The sequence below is a fragment of the Homo sapiens genome, chromosome 13, assembly GCF_000001405.40.
Source record: "Homo sapiens chromosome 13, GRCh38.p14 Primary Assembly".
Classification (NCBI taxonomy): Eukaryota; Metazoa; Chordata; class Mammalia; order Primates; family Hominidae; genus Homo; species Homo sapiens.
Window position 1 is genome coordinate 104806048 of NC_000013.11, and position 16515 is coordinate 104822562.

At 36.4% G+C, this 16515-nt stretch overlaps 1 long non-coding RNA gene and 1 pseudogene across 4 annotated transcripts in view; one reads left to right on the forward strand and one right to left on the reverse strand.

The window, feature by feature from the left end:
• LOC107984606 (uncharacterized) overlaps positions 1 to 16515 on the reverse strand; it is an 84462-nt gene that overhangs the window by 52523 nt on the left and 15424 nt on the right. The window lies entirely within an intron of this gene.
• RPL7P45 (ribosomal protein L7 pseudogene 45) lies at positions 8264 to 9088 on the forward strand (annotated as a pseudogene).

Below are 16515 nucleotides of genomic sequence, written 5' to 3' on the forward strand. Positions count from 1 at the left end.
TGCCTCCCAGATTCAAGCGATTTTCCTGCTTTAGCCTCCTATGTAGCTGGGACTACAGGAGCCTGCCACCACGCCCAGCTAACTTTTGTATTTTTAGTAGAGACAGGGTTTTGCAATGTTGGCCAGGCTGGTCTCAAAACTCCTGACCTCAAGTGATCTGCCTGCCTTGGCCTCCCAAAGTGCTAGGATTACAGGCGTGAGCCATCATGCCCAGCCTTGTTTTATCATCTATTTTAGTTTATCTACATAGTTTAGACATTTCAGAATATGTTTAAATACTCAGCAACAAGACTTTCAATAGCTACACAATATCCCAGATCATGGGTTCATAAACTAAAGCCCATGAGCCTACCCAGCCTGCCACCTGTTTTAGTAAGGCCTATAGAGTAAGAGTGATTCTTAGAGATGAATATTTGCAATTGATCTGATGAGGAGGAACACTACATTTGGACCTTAATTGAAGAAAATGCTATCCCACAAAAAACAAACAAACAAACAAACAACAACAACAACAAAAACACTCCATTCTTTTCATTGGTAGACCTGTGATATTAACAGTAAGAATTCCAAAGGCATTCCCAGTTTTGGGTTATTCCATCAAACACTGTTGTAGGTACTACCAGCAAGGAACTTTGCACATAGAATTAAAGATACTAAGCTGACCTTAGGACAGGGACATTACCACTGGGTTATTCAAGTGGTGCAGATGTCATCATGAGAGCTTTTCAAAGCAGAGGGGTCATTTATACACAGTCACGGAAGAGGAGATGGGAAATGAGCAGAAGGGGAGGAAAGAGAGATTTGAAAGCACGAGAGGGACTCAGCTTCCATTGCTGACTTTAAGGATGGAGGAAGAGGCTTGTGAGTCTCTAAAAGCTAAAATGACCCCAGGCTGGCCTGCAGCTGGCAGGAGAATGGGGACTTCAGTCCTACAATCGCAATGAAGTAAATCCTGTCAAAAACCATGATGACATGAAAGCAAATTCCCCACTAGAGGTTCAGGAAGAGAACACAGCCATGCTGACCCCTTGAGGTCTTGATGTCTGCCTTGTAAAACCTAGTGCAAAGAAACAGCTGAGAAACATGGTACCCTCTGGACCTACATGATGGTAAAAAATTAAACAGGTATTGTGGTAAGGCATTAATTCAAGGTAACTTCTTACAGCAGCAATAGAAAACTAATACAAAACCCATACTATTTCAAAAAATGCTTGATTATTATTATATTTTCAATTTTATTAAATATATGTGCAAAATTGCTTTCTGTTTTGTTATATAATAGAATTGTCTACAGAACTAATTATAGTTTCCTCTTGGCACACAAAGCCTAAACAATTTGTGATTTGTTATCTGGTTCTTTATAGAAAAAGTTTGCCAACTCCTGCTCTAGGCTATATTTTTACAACAATATATGTAATGGTTCTGTTATTCCTAAAACATTGATTTCCCAGTCTTCCATGTCTCATTCTAGCTTGTTGCACTTGGATTTCTCCTATGACAGAAACATAGAAATTCCCGTGAAGCCAAACTCAGGTGATGTTTCAGGGACACACTGACTCATAAAAATAATCTACCATTGTGGGGCCATTGTTGCTGTTTTTGTGAAACACGTAGGCTTATCAAGATTACCAAGATAAGGCATATTATCAGGTTAACTAGTATTAACTTCAAAGTTGAGATGATCTATGGATAACTGGTTGGGTTAACACCAATGACAGCTTTCCTAGTTACATAGTCTCAGATCAGCGCTTCAGTCAGACATTGTGGACGCTTTAAGGTGTCTAAGAGTAATCATATAACTTTGGGGAAAATGTGTCTTAGATAGGAATTTATTCTGCTTTTTAAAACAATAGAACAATTCATATGACATATAGCTGAGTATTTTAATTAATATAGATTTGAGACAGTAAAAGCAGTTGAATCAAAATCAAAGATGAGTAACTAAAAATACAAAAGAAACAGCAAGTAAAGGAAAAACTCAAGAAATATTAAATTTTAAATATGTTTAGCCAATTAGAAAAATATCAGTTACACATGCAAGTTGAAAAATCTAATTTTTAGAATTATGTATTTATAATTTTTCAAGTATAATATCATATGATTGTATGTTTGTTCTTGCTAGCAAAGAAACATAACATGACTTTTGGAAACTTTTAATTAATTTGCTAAGTTAACAAATAGGCAAACACATACATTGTCAGAGGAAATAACGAAGGTTTTCGGTGCAGAAATGCAGCTGGTGGTGTACTCATGCACTTAGACATGTAATATAGCATAAAAAATTCACTATTTGTAAAACAGTGTTGCAGTATATATCAATAACCACAAAAATATCCATAATAACAATGACTCAGTTATATCATATTTAAGAAATATTCATACATTATTTTGTAGAAATCAGTCAAAAAGAAAAGTTAGAGAATAGTCGGTAAATGTGATATCAAGCAATATCTTTGACTGAAGATAGCCATATATCTAGGCTGAAGGATGAAGTGTTCCTCATACAAATTTTGGCTAAATAACAAATTTTGTGTTGAAATTATACTGGTTCAGATATGAAATCATCTTAATCAAACATTCTTTAGATCCAACAATGAATCTAAAATCTTATCAAGAAAATTTAATAGTAACACAATTTTATTATTATAACTTCACTTCTAAAATGTTTAGAAACTTCTTGAATAATCAACACCGTTGGCCATTAATTTCTTCTTGAATTCAATATATTAAATTTTTTTCATTAATGTTGATATTCGCTTTTAGTCAAGGTCAATGGTAAAGGAAAATTAGGGCTGGTTGGGTGAGCTGATACTTTTTCTACAGATTTTTTAATACACAGACTAAAGATAATTTATTATGGATTTTATTATTTTATTTTGCAGTTTTTCATTGTTATAAATTTTCAGATATCAAATACAGTTTATTGACTAACCCACAACGTGAAAATTACACAAAAGTTGTTTTTTCATGACTCGTACGCTAAGTGGAATTTAATAAATAAAAATTCAATGCGGTTCTTAAAATTTTTCAATGTAATATTATAAATGTTACTACCCCAAATAATTTTACAATAATAAAAATTATGATAGAAACTAAGGTCTATCAAACTACTTTGTATTGTAATTTAATTTTTTTGCAAACACCTCTTGCCTCAAAAATTCCTAAACTTATCTTTCTAACATATCTTCGCAACTTTCATATTACCTGCCAATCTTTACCTATTTATTTAATTAGTTGAAATCCTTAAAATTTGTTTGTGTGTATAAAATTAACAGCTTTCACAATAAGCACTAATTGCTGCAACATTTTAAACTTGCAAAAATAATTACACATTTAAACTGCTAAGCTGAAAGTCTTTCAACTTATAAAGCCCATTAGGAGGTATTCACTCCAAGCCAGTAGAACCTTTACCTCTATTGATGTAACTGTGTTGCTATTAACACTAAATCTAGTGGGATACCTTAGTCTTACTACGGACATTGAGAGCCTCACTGGATATGATGGTGCCAGAGAGGACAAAGCAGCAGGTATTTGGCAACTGGAATTTCCCAGGCTGAGGCTAAGGAGAGGCTAGCCAGCAGCCAGCAGATGAAGGCAGATGTTGAAATCTCTAGCACTCTCAGGGCACCAGAAACCACAGCTGCCTATTTTAAATAAAAATAAGGTTACTCACAGCACTTACAGAAGACATGTGACCAGTCTTGGGAAATGATCATAACCAAGTTAACTCCGAAGTCGAGGTAAGAACAATCCCAATGACTGTCGTGGAGCAGGAAAGGTCCTTTCCCATGTGACACCAAATCCTCAATGAATTATGCATATCTCACTGTCATTCCTGACTTTGCATAACTAGCTTAAAGTCCAAAGCCCAAAGACATAGTGATTAATAAGGTCTCAGAGTTGAAAGAACAAGGCTCTTACACTTGGTCCTTTCAACTCCTAGAATCTTCTAGAAATTGTCCTAGAATACTTCCTATAGTGACCGAAAGGAAATTTCCCACAGGGATATTGGGAAACTGTTAATAACTATTAGATTATTCTATGATCCATTTGTTTTGTTGTTCTATCTAACCTGCTGCAGATAGGGCAATCAATAAAAAGACCGAATTTCTGCCATGATTGAATTAACATTGGAGTGGAAGATAAAATCAATAAACTTAGATCGGCATTATAATATCCCATATAGATAAATGATAGGAAGAATAATGAAGCACAATATGGAGATTGAAAATATGGGATGCAAAGTCAGTTTAGACAAAGTGGTCCTGAAGTTCTCACTGTTATGGCGAACCAGGAGCAGAGACCTCGGTGAGGGGAGAAGTTCAGCCGCTAGATGGCTGGAGGAAGAGCATGCTGGGCACAGGAAATGGCAGGTGCAGAGGCAGGGTGCTTGATGCGGTTGAAGAATAACAAGGAGCCTCTGTGACTGAGGCACAATAAGCAAAAGGGAAGTGCATTGGAGGTAGAGTCAGAACCCACATCACTTAGGGGCTGGGGCCAGGGAGAGAACGTTGAGTTTTCTTCTAAAAGCAGCAGGAAACAATTGTAAGTTTTTCAGTTAGAAAAGATATGATCTTACTTTCCCAGGAATTGCATGTGGTAAGGCATTATGCTTCCAACTATAACTTCCCATGGAACAACTTCAGAGACAACACGAATGTCAAAAAGCAGAAATAGTCATGCAAATTTGTGGCAGAGAAGCATAAGTAGAAATTACATGGCAATTATAGGAGAATTAAAGGACATGGAATTATATAGAAAACTGTGTAATATTAAGTGAAAAGATGATCAAATGGTAAGTAAAATATATATGTATTAGGATAAGGTACAAAATTAGGGTAGTTATGTTAAAAATACTATGATTATATGTGATTAAAATTATTTAACTGTGTTTGTTGCTTTTTCAATGTTGTTGATGCTTATAATCTTTGCTAACTCAAATTCTCCCAACCAGTATGTATGGTGCACACAGATGTACTGAGAAGACCTAAGGGCAAGCTGCCCTATTTCCAATCTCTTCACCTCCCATTTTCATAGATTGTCCCATTGCCAGCCAAACTCACTTCTTCTGTTTAACTGTTCTTACTAAGTATATCCCTACTTCTAGCCTGCCAAATAGAAAGTATCCTTGGGCTTCTTGTCTTCATTATATGATCAACTAACTCCAACTCATCTTTCTGCAACATATTTTTTGTAATCCTTACAGTAACTTTTGGCATGGTAAATGGGACCTTCACTGTACTAAAACAATTTAGAAGTATCCCACAGAAATTAGAAACAATGTTTGGTGTGCATAGTTTATCAATACACATCTATAATTTTATAAGCTAATCTGATTAGTTGTGAATGCAGTGGTTATATTTAAAATAAAATTTTAATTGGACGAGTAGCCTCATCTGAGCTCTATGGATATTTCAGCGGAAGTCAGAAATGGAAATTGACCTAAATTGGCATGGTACCTTAGGTTATGGTGATCTTCAGTAAAATAATTAACTAGCTTAGTGTTTATGGGCCAATAAGCATTATGTTGATGTCATCATATGCCTTCAGAAAAGCAGAGATGAGCAAGTTGTCATTATTGTCAGACCTCCTGAGGGGAATCCTACCTTTGTAATGCATTGCCTTTGTGACTATAGGCAAGTTACCTAACCACTCTCAGAGTTAGTTTCCTTGCCTGAAAAATATAGATAGTAATGTTCTTTAGCTCATAAAGTACGAAGATAAACATATACTACATGAAATATAATTAGCTTATCTCCTAATTCAGAAAGGAATTTTTGTTTGTTTAATACCACTATCATCACAACCATAACTACAAACAAAGCCACCAACATCACACAACCAACTTTTCAACCCCCGTCCCCTCCCTTCTCAATGAAGTTTAATATATGGTTTATAAGTGTAAGCCCTAAGTCCCACTGGGTTCAAATCCCAGCTCTGCCATTCACCAACTATCAATTTATTTGTCTTTTCTTTCATTTAGTCACCTATTAAATAGAAAATAATGCCTACATTATAGCATCACTGGTAAGATTCAAAAGGTTGATATAATGTGCTTAGAACAGTGTCTTAAACAAAATACGAAAATGTTAGCTTTTACTCACTCTAATAAATTCCTTCTTTGCACAGGTAAAATTTCAGATTTTGCATTTCTACATGTGTCTGTTTTTTATAAACTTTATGTGTCATTATCATTGCATATTTTCTGCAATTTAATGTGGTTACTAATAATCTGAAACTTTCTAAAGAAAAATTAAGAAGAGTAAAAAAAAAAAAGTTATCATTCTTTCCCTAAAATGTAAAGAAAATAGCAGCACCTGAAGTTGTTTTAAGCTCTTTGACTTAAGAAAAAACGAGAAACTGGTAACATAATGTTATTGGGAAAAATTGCTAAAAATGTCAAATGCTATGGACATTTTTCTACTTACAGGAAACTGTATAAGTTATATTGGGGGAAAGTGAGTTCCACTCTTAAGGATTTTTGACAACTAAGCTGTAAATAATATTTTACATACTGGGTTCTCTATGGACTGTCTAGATAAATGTCTGGCCTACTGTCATCTATGGGACTTTCCTGTCCATCTCGACTTTTTCAGGTATAAACCATACCTTAGAAAAGGCTGTGCACAGCAACCCTTGGGAATGGTGCAGACCTGTGAATTTACTGGTGGCGGTGAGGGAACAGTTGTCTGCATGTCTGCCGACCAGAAGACTGTTGATTTAACTACAGCACACAGCAGACCCAACTTTTTAAAGCTATGAAAGATGGGGATTTTTCACACTCTTTTTTTTTTTTATAACCTGCCACCTTAACCTGCCTAAATAAATCATTTGAAGTTCTAATATAATTAGTTTTACCATCACTATGGTCTTCTGACTGATCATTTCTTTAACTAATGTAAGCCTGTAGTAAGAAAAATAGTTAAGTATCTCTAGCTCACTTTAGAAATTTGTAAAGCCTCATCGCTTCTGTAACAAATTCCTGAGCATAGAGCCATGAAAAATTGATATATTCACAGGAAAAATAAGAAAATTAATGGTAAACATGTGTTGCCAAATGCATTTAAATTCTAATTTGGCTAAGTCATTGGCTACATTTAACAGGAAAATTTGATGTACCTCACTCTTGACAACCATCAGTAAATTTATTCAAAATTTAAAGCAAGATTTGGGGCAAATTTTGTCAGGATCAAAACCATTTGACCACCCACAAGTATAAGAGACAGATGAAAATATTATTTAAACAACTGTATCCAAATAGAGTTACTGATGGACAAGGAATGAAAAAAGATATGTCTCATACTGACTCCCAACACGTCTATACCAGAATTCCTCTCTGATAATTTAAATAATATCTCAAATAGATTCCACAACTTATCTAGTTACTCTGAACTATTAAAACTCATTCTAATGTCTGGGCATTAAGAATCCTGTTTGGTCTAATGTAGAACTGTCAATCATACATCCACTTCAAAAGTCAGCGATTTATGATTTACATCTCTGTACCTGCCATTTCCCGTACACAGCATGCTCTTCCTCCAGCCACCTCATGGCTGAATTTCTCCCCTCTCTGAGGTATCTGCTCCTGGTTTGCCACAACAGTGAGATCTTCAGGACAACCTTGTCTAAACTGACTTTGCATCCCACGTTTTTATCTCCATATTCTGTTTCATTGTTCTTCCTATCATTTATCTACATGGGATCTTATAATGTAGATCTAGTTTATTGATTTTATCTTCCACTCTGATGTTAATTCCATCATGGCAGAAATTCGGTCTTTTCATTCATTGCCCTATCTGCAGCAGGTTAGATAGAACAACAACAAAATGAATGGATCATAAATAGATACGGTTTATGATCTAAATAATATCTCAAATAGATTCCATAACTTTTCTAGTTACTCAGAACAATTAACACTCATTCTAATGTGCAGGCATTCAGAATCCTGTTTGTTCTAATGTAGAATCGTTGGTCAAACCTCGACACATCTACTTCTCAGGTTCTGTTCTGACTCATGACAGGCTTTGGAGAAGAAGAGGAGGTGCTGGCTTTCTCCATGTTTCTTGTTGCAGCCTGCCTTGACTTATCTGCTATTGTCAGATGCCAGCATTGGGGCAGGCATGGGGGGGCAGACAAACGAAATCAGATGGGAGCTACAGTCATTATGAGACAGATACCCCAATTACGGCCTTAAGCTGGAATTAAATACCAGTACGATGATCTTTCAAGAAAAAAAAGCAAACATAAAAAAATGAAGACGCTCTTTTCCAACTGGAATCGTGGAGGGTGTTGAAAAGAAGAGGAAGTTGCCTGCTGTACCAGAAACCCTTTAGAGAAAGTAAAGGAATTTTGCAGAGCTGAAGATAAGTGCCTGAGAAAGAAGTTTGCCCATAAGATGCTTCAAAAGGCAAGGAGGAAGCTCATCTATGAAAAAGTGAAACACTGTCACAAGGAATATAGGCAGATGTACAGAACTGAAATTCAAATGGCGACGATGGCAAGAAAAGCTGGCAACTTCTTCGTACATCCAAAACCCAAATTGGCGTTTGTCATCAGGATCAGTGCTATCAGTGGTGTGAGCCCCAAGGTCTGAAAGGTGTTGCAGCTTCTTTGCCTTTGTCAGGTCTTCAGTGGAACCTTTGTGAAGCTCAACAAGGCTTTAATGAACATACTGAGAATTGTAGAAACGTATATTGCATGTAGGTACCCAAATCTGAAGTCAATAAAGGAACTAATCTAGAAGCATGGTTATGGCAAAATCAATGAGAAGCGAATTGCACTGACAGATAACACTTAGATTGCTCGATCTCTTGGTAAATATGGCATCATCTGCATGGAGGATCTGATTCATGAGATCTATACTGTTGGAAAACGCTTCAAAGAAGCAAATAACTTCCTGTGACCTTTCAGATTATCTTCCTCACTAGGCAGAATGAAGAAAAAGATCACCCATTTCATAGAAGGTGGAACTGCTGGCAACAGGGAGGAGCAGATCAACAGGCTTCTTAGGAGACTGAATTAAGTGTCTACCATGATTATTTTTCTAAGCTGGCCAGTTAATAAACAGCACCTGCTCTCAAATTGAAATTAAAAAAAGACAAAAAGAAGGAAAGAATAAACTAGCAAATATGTATATGTATACACATAAGAACAGAACCCAAAGATAACCAACATTATCCAATAAAGAATTTCTAAAATAGAAGGAATACTGAATGATAAGAATCGCAAAATAATGTCATATAATGTAAACAAATATTTAATGTTTAAAACATTCTTGTTTTATCATTAGACAGAAATCTTGATATTAAATACCAAGGGGAAAAGGAAGAATAGATACATGTTAAAACACTCTATGGTTTTACCTCTGGTGTAATGCAAAAGTATTGATTTGATTTTGACATAATTACTTTTAATATGAGTGTTAAAAGTTTCTGTTGTAACCACTAAAATAATAGAAAGATTGTCCAATTCTCATATTAGAGGAGAAAAAACAAGTCAATTCCCAGCTTGGGCCTCTGTCTGTGTGGAGTTTGCACATTCTCTTTGTGTCTGCATAGGTCCTCTCTGACTTCCTTTCCCTTCCCAAACATGTGCATGTTAGGTGAATTGACATGTCTACATGGTCCCAGTCTGAATGAGTGATGACGTGTGTGTGAGTGTGCCCTGGGAGGGAATGGCATCCTATCCAAGGCTGTTTCCCAGCTTCTGCCCTAAGCTGCAGGGACGAAGCTCTGACCCCTCGCCACTATGAATTGGAATAACCAGGTTGGAAAATGAGTGAAGGAATAAATACAGATTATTGTACAATAAAAATATATATTGCTATTGATTTGACTGCATTTTATTGACTTTCTGTATTTCCTTTGATTCAAAATGTAAATTTAAAAAATACATTTCATGCAATTGAAAAGAAAAACACTTGGTGGAAGTGTGCAAGATTCTCTATCAGGGTCATTTTCAGTGACATAAGTAAAATGACTTGAGGTCACTATCCTGAAATGACAAGAGTAGATGTCTCTGATTTAAGCACAGAAAGAAACAGATGCTGCAACATTTTATGTTTGTCTTGCACAGGCTTCAGTCCACATGCTCCTTTAAAGGCTGGGTGCAGTGGTTCACGCCTGTAATCCCAGCACTTTGGGAGGCTGAGACGTGTGGATCACGAGGTCAGGAGATCAAGACCATCCTGGCTAACACGGTGAAACCCCATCTCTACTAAAAAAAAAAAAAAAAAAAAAAAGAATAGCCAGGCATGGTGGCGGGTGTCTGTAGTCCCAGCTACTCAGGAGGCTGAGGCAGGAGAATGGTGTGAACCCAGGAGTTGGAGCTTGCAGTGAGCAGAGATCATGCCATGCACTCCAGCCTGGGCAACAGAGCAAGACTCTGTCTCAAAAAAAAAAAAAAAAAAAAATCCAATGACAAAATCATTTTTTTTCTGCCAAAGTGTTCACAAAACTGCAATCTGGTTTTAAGGTTTCCAAATTGTACCAAAGATAATTTAAAGCATTACGATGCATAAAAACCTTCTAATTAAGAAAACCCTGGGTGCTAGGTCATTTACTTTCACTAATTGAACATGTTCATTATATTAAATTCCATTTGCAATTTATCGATGTAAGTAGTATGACAAGTATTCATAGGAAACCCTTGTACTGTATCTCAGTATTGTTGAGGGGATTGTTTTATTTCATTTTTCTTTTATTTGGGTACAAATATTGCTCATTAATTTCACATAAATAGCTTATGTCATTTCTTTTAGTTGGTTTAAGACACTGACTCTTGGTGTAACACTAGTCCTGTTTCTATTGCTACCAAAAACAAATGACTAATAGCCAGGGTTTTGTTCCTCTTGTCCTTCTGCCAAATTCTTGACATAATTTGGCTAAATGTAATTTTCTCTGACACCTGTTCTAGTCGCCTTCTCATTTTTTCCATTTACATCTGATTTCCTCGTCACCCTCCCTCTCCTTTTCACTCATTCCTCAATTGATTTGGTTCCCTAGCACAGTCAAGAATGCGTTATACTTGTTTTTAAAAATCCCCTAAAATTATTTATCTGTAGATTTTGATGTACGTTCCAGAAGGTTGAATGCCCGAGTCATATACATGTAGTCCAATAGAATTAACAGCTGTAAAACCTATTAGAGTTAGTACCTTATCTATTTCTTGGCATTGGCAAAGTAGTAGTTGGTCAGGAATAATCTGATTTGATAGAAGTCAAAAGTGTGGAAAGAGAACCAAACACAGGCTAATTGCTGGGGAGAGTGCATCCAGTATGAAGAGCCATGGAAACCAGAGTCAAGACTCGGGTTCTGACTACTGCCTAGGCAATCAGCGCAGCATGCACAGCAGGGGAAGGGTGGACACCTGTGCAGAAGTTTGCTGATGCATTGGACCACAATGGCTATGGCGATGCCAACATGTCCCTTCTATCAGCCACGTAGTGTGGTCACTAAGCTGTGATTGTAGAAACTGCTCACAGCTGGATGTTGCCCAAATACTCATTTTCCATAATGTAAACAATTTATTTAAAACTACTATAATTCATGAGACTCATAAACATATATACTCTTACTCCTTTACAGCCCAGAAAAATACAAACACACATTCATACAGCTTCTGGTTGAAATTGAGACACATCTATACATATATGTGTTTTAATTTCCCCATATATATATATATATATATATATATATATATATATACACACACACACACATATGGGGGAAATCAAGCAAATTTATACTACCAATATAACAACAGCAAAAAGAAACATTAACCTTTGAGTAAGTTGTAGTGAAGCCTGTGCATGTTCCTTTTCCACAACAAGACATACTTTAGCAAAAATCTGGATCCTGCATTAGAGTTGGTCTTGGCATAGAAGTATACATTTTGTAATCCCACTTTAAGCCTTGGGTGTTCTGTATCCCTAATTGAGGGAAGGAACTTTAGCATATTTTTTAACTTAGTCCAGTTGAATGTGTTTGCTGCTACTCAACCATTAGTCTGCTAAGTCTTCAATTTCAGACAGGAATTTTATTAATGGCTCCTTATTAACACCTCTGACAACTTCATAAATAAAAATTATAACCTGAAAAAAATTCAACTTTAGACCATAAGAAATAACTAGCTATTGGAAATGGAAAACAAGTTTCACTGTTTTAACTAACAGAAGCTTCTCAGTACACAGGAATAGCATGCCTCAAATCTAAGACAAATTTTGAAATGAGCATTTATTCTTTATCTGAATGGTATTTTCCTTAAGTGTCATTTTTCAGTAGCCCAAACAGAAATAGCTCATTCTCTGAACTGTTTATCTATAAAGTTTTCCATATTTGTGTCTGTAAAATTAACTCGGTTTTTCTTATAACAATGAAAACACGGTCTAATTTACCATGCCAAAAGTTACTGTAAAGATTACAAAAAAACATGTTGCAGAAAGATGACTTAGGGTTAGTTTATCATGTAATGAAGATAAGAAGACCAAGGACAGTTTCTATTTGGCAGGCTGTAAGTAGAGACATATTTAGCAAAAACAGTTAAACAGAAGAAGTAAGTTAGAACCAGGAAGGTAAGTTCTATACCTCTAAAAGCTTTTTATCCAGATGAGTTAGATGCATTTAATAATTATATTTCTGAAAAACAGTTACAACATTTATTAAGATACATTAGGTTGGTTATTATTTTGTATCCTTGTCTGAGACTTCCCATTTTAATAAATATTAAGATGGTGTGTCTCTATAAATTTAGAAAAATCATAATTATAATAATAAATGCATTCTAGGTGAGCAATGTGCCCTCCTTTCTCATACAGTATGGGTCTGGATACAAAGTCCTTTGCAACAACCTGGCTGGGAATCGACGAAAACGGCCATAGGGCAGAGGAGTAAGATGAGCGTACCAGCCTCTCCAGGATGCCTGTAGCCCATCTTCCTTCTCTCCCAAGAAAACAGCTCCACGTCCTATTGCTAAGCTGTAGCATATGCACGCTGGGGCCCAGGGATTCTCAGAATCGCAGAAGATACAAAAATTTAACCTCCTAATTTAGGTTAGGAATGAGGAATGAAGGACATTTTACTTATCTTACTTCTCAGGAGAAGATAATGAAAAATCATCTCTACATTCTGAACTTTTTAAAATTTATTTTACTGCCCCATGAAATTATCAGAGGACGTTACATTCTTTGCGAGCTTTTCCAATTCATATCACGTTTTCTTTCCTATTTTTCTGTCATTTATGAGAACAAGTATGGTGTCAGCACACTCATGCATGCATGCATTCTTGGATTTATTCAATTATTTATTCAGAATAATTTAGTTGTCACCACTGTGCCCCAAGCCGAGTGATTGATCTTAGAAATCAGTGGTGAAAAATGTCCCTTTTCCACTCAATTGATAGAACAAGAAAGATAATTATATAACTAACTAGATGATAATAGACATGAGAGTGAAGCATCCTAGGAACAGAGAGATGATGGCAATTAAATCAGCCTGACAGTGGGCTTCTTGAGACTTGCTATTGCTTCCAGTAAGGTTTGGTTTCATCAGAGTGAACAGGCAACCTACAGAATGGGAGAAAATTTTTGCAATCTACCCATCTGACAAGGGGCTAATATCCAGAATCTACAAAGAACTTAAACAAATTTACAAGAAAAAAACAAACAACTCCATCAAAAAGTGGGCAAAGGACATGAACAGACACTTCTCAAAAGAAGACATTTATGCAGCCAAAAAACACATGAAAAAATGCTCACCATCACTGGCCATCAGAGAAATGCAAACCAAAACCACAATGAGATACCATCTCACACCAGTTAGAATGGCAATCATTAAAAAGTCAGGAAACAACAGGTGCTGGAGAGGATGTGGAGAAATAGGAACACTTTTACACTGTTGGTGGGACTGTAAACTAGTTCAACCATTGTGGAAGTCAGTGTGGCAATTCCTCAGGGATCTAGAACTAGAAATACCATTTGAGCCAGCCATCCCATTACTGGGTATATAGCCAAAGGACTATAAATCATGCTGCTATAAAGACACATGCACACGTATGTTTATTGCGGCTCTATTCACAATAGCAAAGACTTGGAACCAACCCAAATGTCCATCAATGATAGGCTGGATTAAGACAATGTGGCACATATACACCATGGAATACTACGTAGCCATAAAAAATGATGAGTTCATGTCCTTTGCAGGGACATGGATGAAACTGGAAACCATCATTCTCAGCAAACTATCACAAGGACAGAAAATGAAACACTGCATGTTCTCACTCATAGGTGGGAATTGAACAATGAGAACACTTGGACACAGGGCGGGGAACATGACACACTGGGGCCTGTCGGGGGGTGGGGGGCTGGGGGAGGGATAGCATTAGGAGAAATACCTAATATAAATGTCGAGTTGATGGGTGCAGCAAACCAACATGGCACATGTATACCTATGTAACAAACCTGCACGTTGTGCACATGTACCCTAGAACTTAAAGTATAATAATAATAAACAAAGAATATGAATGGAAAACTATTAAACCCATTTATGCCTAGTTTCCATTATTGGAACACTAAGTTTGTGGGAGTTATTTATGTCCTACTGCTCAAGGTCATCGTCAAAATTGCATACATACATACAAAAATTGCAAACTCTGGCATAAATGGGTTAATCAAGGAAAGGAGTTGCAGCAAGCTAAACTGTGAAAATACTTAAATTGGTTACAAAGAGAGAAGCAAGAAAGAAGCAGAAACTTCTTCTTGCTTTATGTGAGTAAAGAAAACATAAATATAAGATACATAGTAAGGAGTTATAAAATGAACTAATACAGGAAGAAGCAGATGCAAGAGCAAGACTGAATACTCCAATCTCCGCAGGATTGATCTGCGTCCTGTTCCAGTTGCTGTGAAGTTTGTCTGAATAATTTGTGAGAACTGTAATCCTACAAGATCTGTTTTCCTATTCCAAAAGAATGCATTCTATACACTAGGTTTACTTGAATAAGATCCTTGTTAATAAGAGAGTTCACATAAAATGTTAGTCTTATCTGAAAACATTTCTCTTCTTGTACTTCAGGCTCTGTTGTTTAATGTGCCCCCTAATGCATATCAAAGAGCACCAATGTAATTGGAAATACTAAGCATACAAAACAAGCAACGCCTGGTAGGCACCATTATTTCCTTTGGGAGTGCTCAATGGAGATGATGATACCCAGTAAACAGGGACAGATTCAGAGGAAACAAAAATGCCCACTGTATTAGTCCGTTCTCACACTGCTATAAAGACATACATGAGACTGGGTCATTTATAAAGGAAAGAAGTTTATTTGATTCACAGTTCCACATGACTAGGGAGGCCTCAGGAAACTTACAATCATGACAGAAGGCCAGAAAGAAGCAAAGAACGTCTTACATGGTGGCAGGGGAGAGAGAGTGAAGGAGCAAAGGGAGAAAAGCCCATTATAAAACCATCAGATCACTATCCCGAGAACAGCACAGGGGAAACGGCCTCCATGATTCAATCACCTCCCACCAGGTCCCGCCCTCGACATGTGGGGATTATGGGGATTAGAGTTTGAGATGAGATTTAGGTGGGGACACAGAGCCAAGCCATATCACCCATGAATGGTAACTGGCCAGAAATATAAGTGCATTTCAACTATCTTGGGACATCAAAAACTAATTTGGGGAATTGAAAGAAAGCTTAAATATACCTATAAATCATTGAATTCCATGGCTCTTAAAGCACTAATTCTTTTAGTTAATAAATAAATATTGTTATTGTGAATATGGAACCTTCTTTTTGTGTGACTTTAGTAAAAAAAATCCTGAACTAGAATTTGATTGGTACAGTTCATCTTTTGAGTCAAACCCTATGACAAAGACTTGATTGAGATGTCTGCCTTTGATTTAATAAGCTGTTTCAGGGTGGAGGTTGGGATACTCATCCAGAACATGTATGTTTAATGCAGTCAAAAACAAAAAATGGGAATTATCCAAGGCTGCCTTAGAACATCATATAGACAGGTAAGGAGAAACCCACCCACTGTTAATTACTGAGTTTGATCAGTGCAATATTAGGGTTAGACAATGTTGCAATGGGACAAAAAGAAGGCTTTTTGGAAAACATAGCTCAGTAGGGATCTGGGCTGGGGATACAGATCGTGGATTCCTTCAGCTTATGAACAGCAAGTGAAAACATAATATTATTTGTAATCATTGAGGAAGACTCTAAATTGAAAAGAAGAAATGGACTAGAGGAAAAAACACGAGAACCACCATTCTACTGTCTTTTTTATGTGAAAATTGAAAATTCATCCAGAACAACAAACTCTATTAGTTCCACTGGGGGAAAGAGAAAGAAACATGATGAAAATTGTCATTTAAAACAGAGAAAGAGGGAAGGCACATGAACAAGTGGTCACAGAGCAAAGAGAAAAGCCAGAAAGGGACCAGAAAAAAGAAATTCCTTAAAGAAAAAGCCAAAAGTATCAAAAGCCCGACAAGACAAATTTGATTATTTG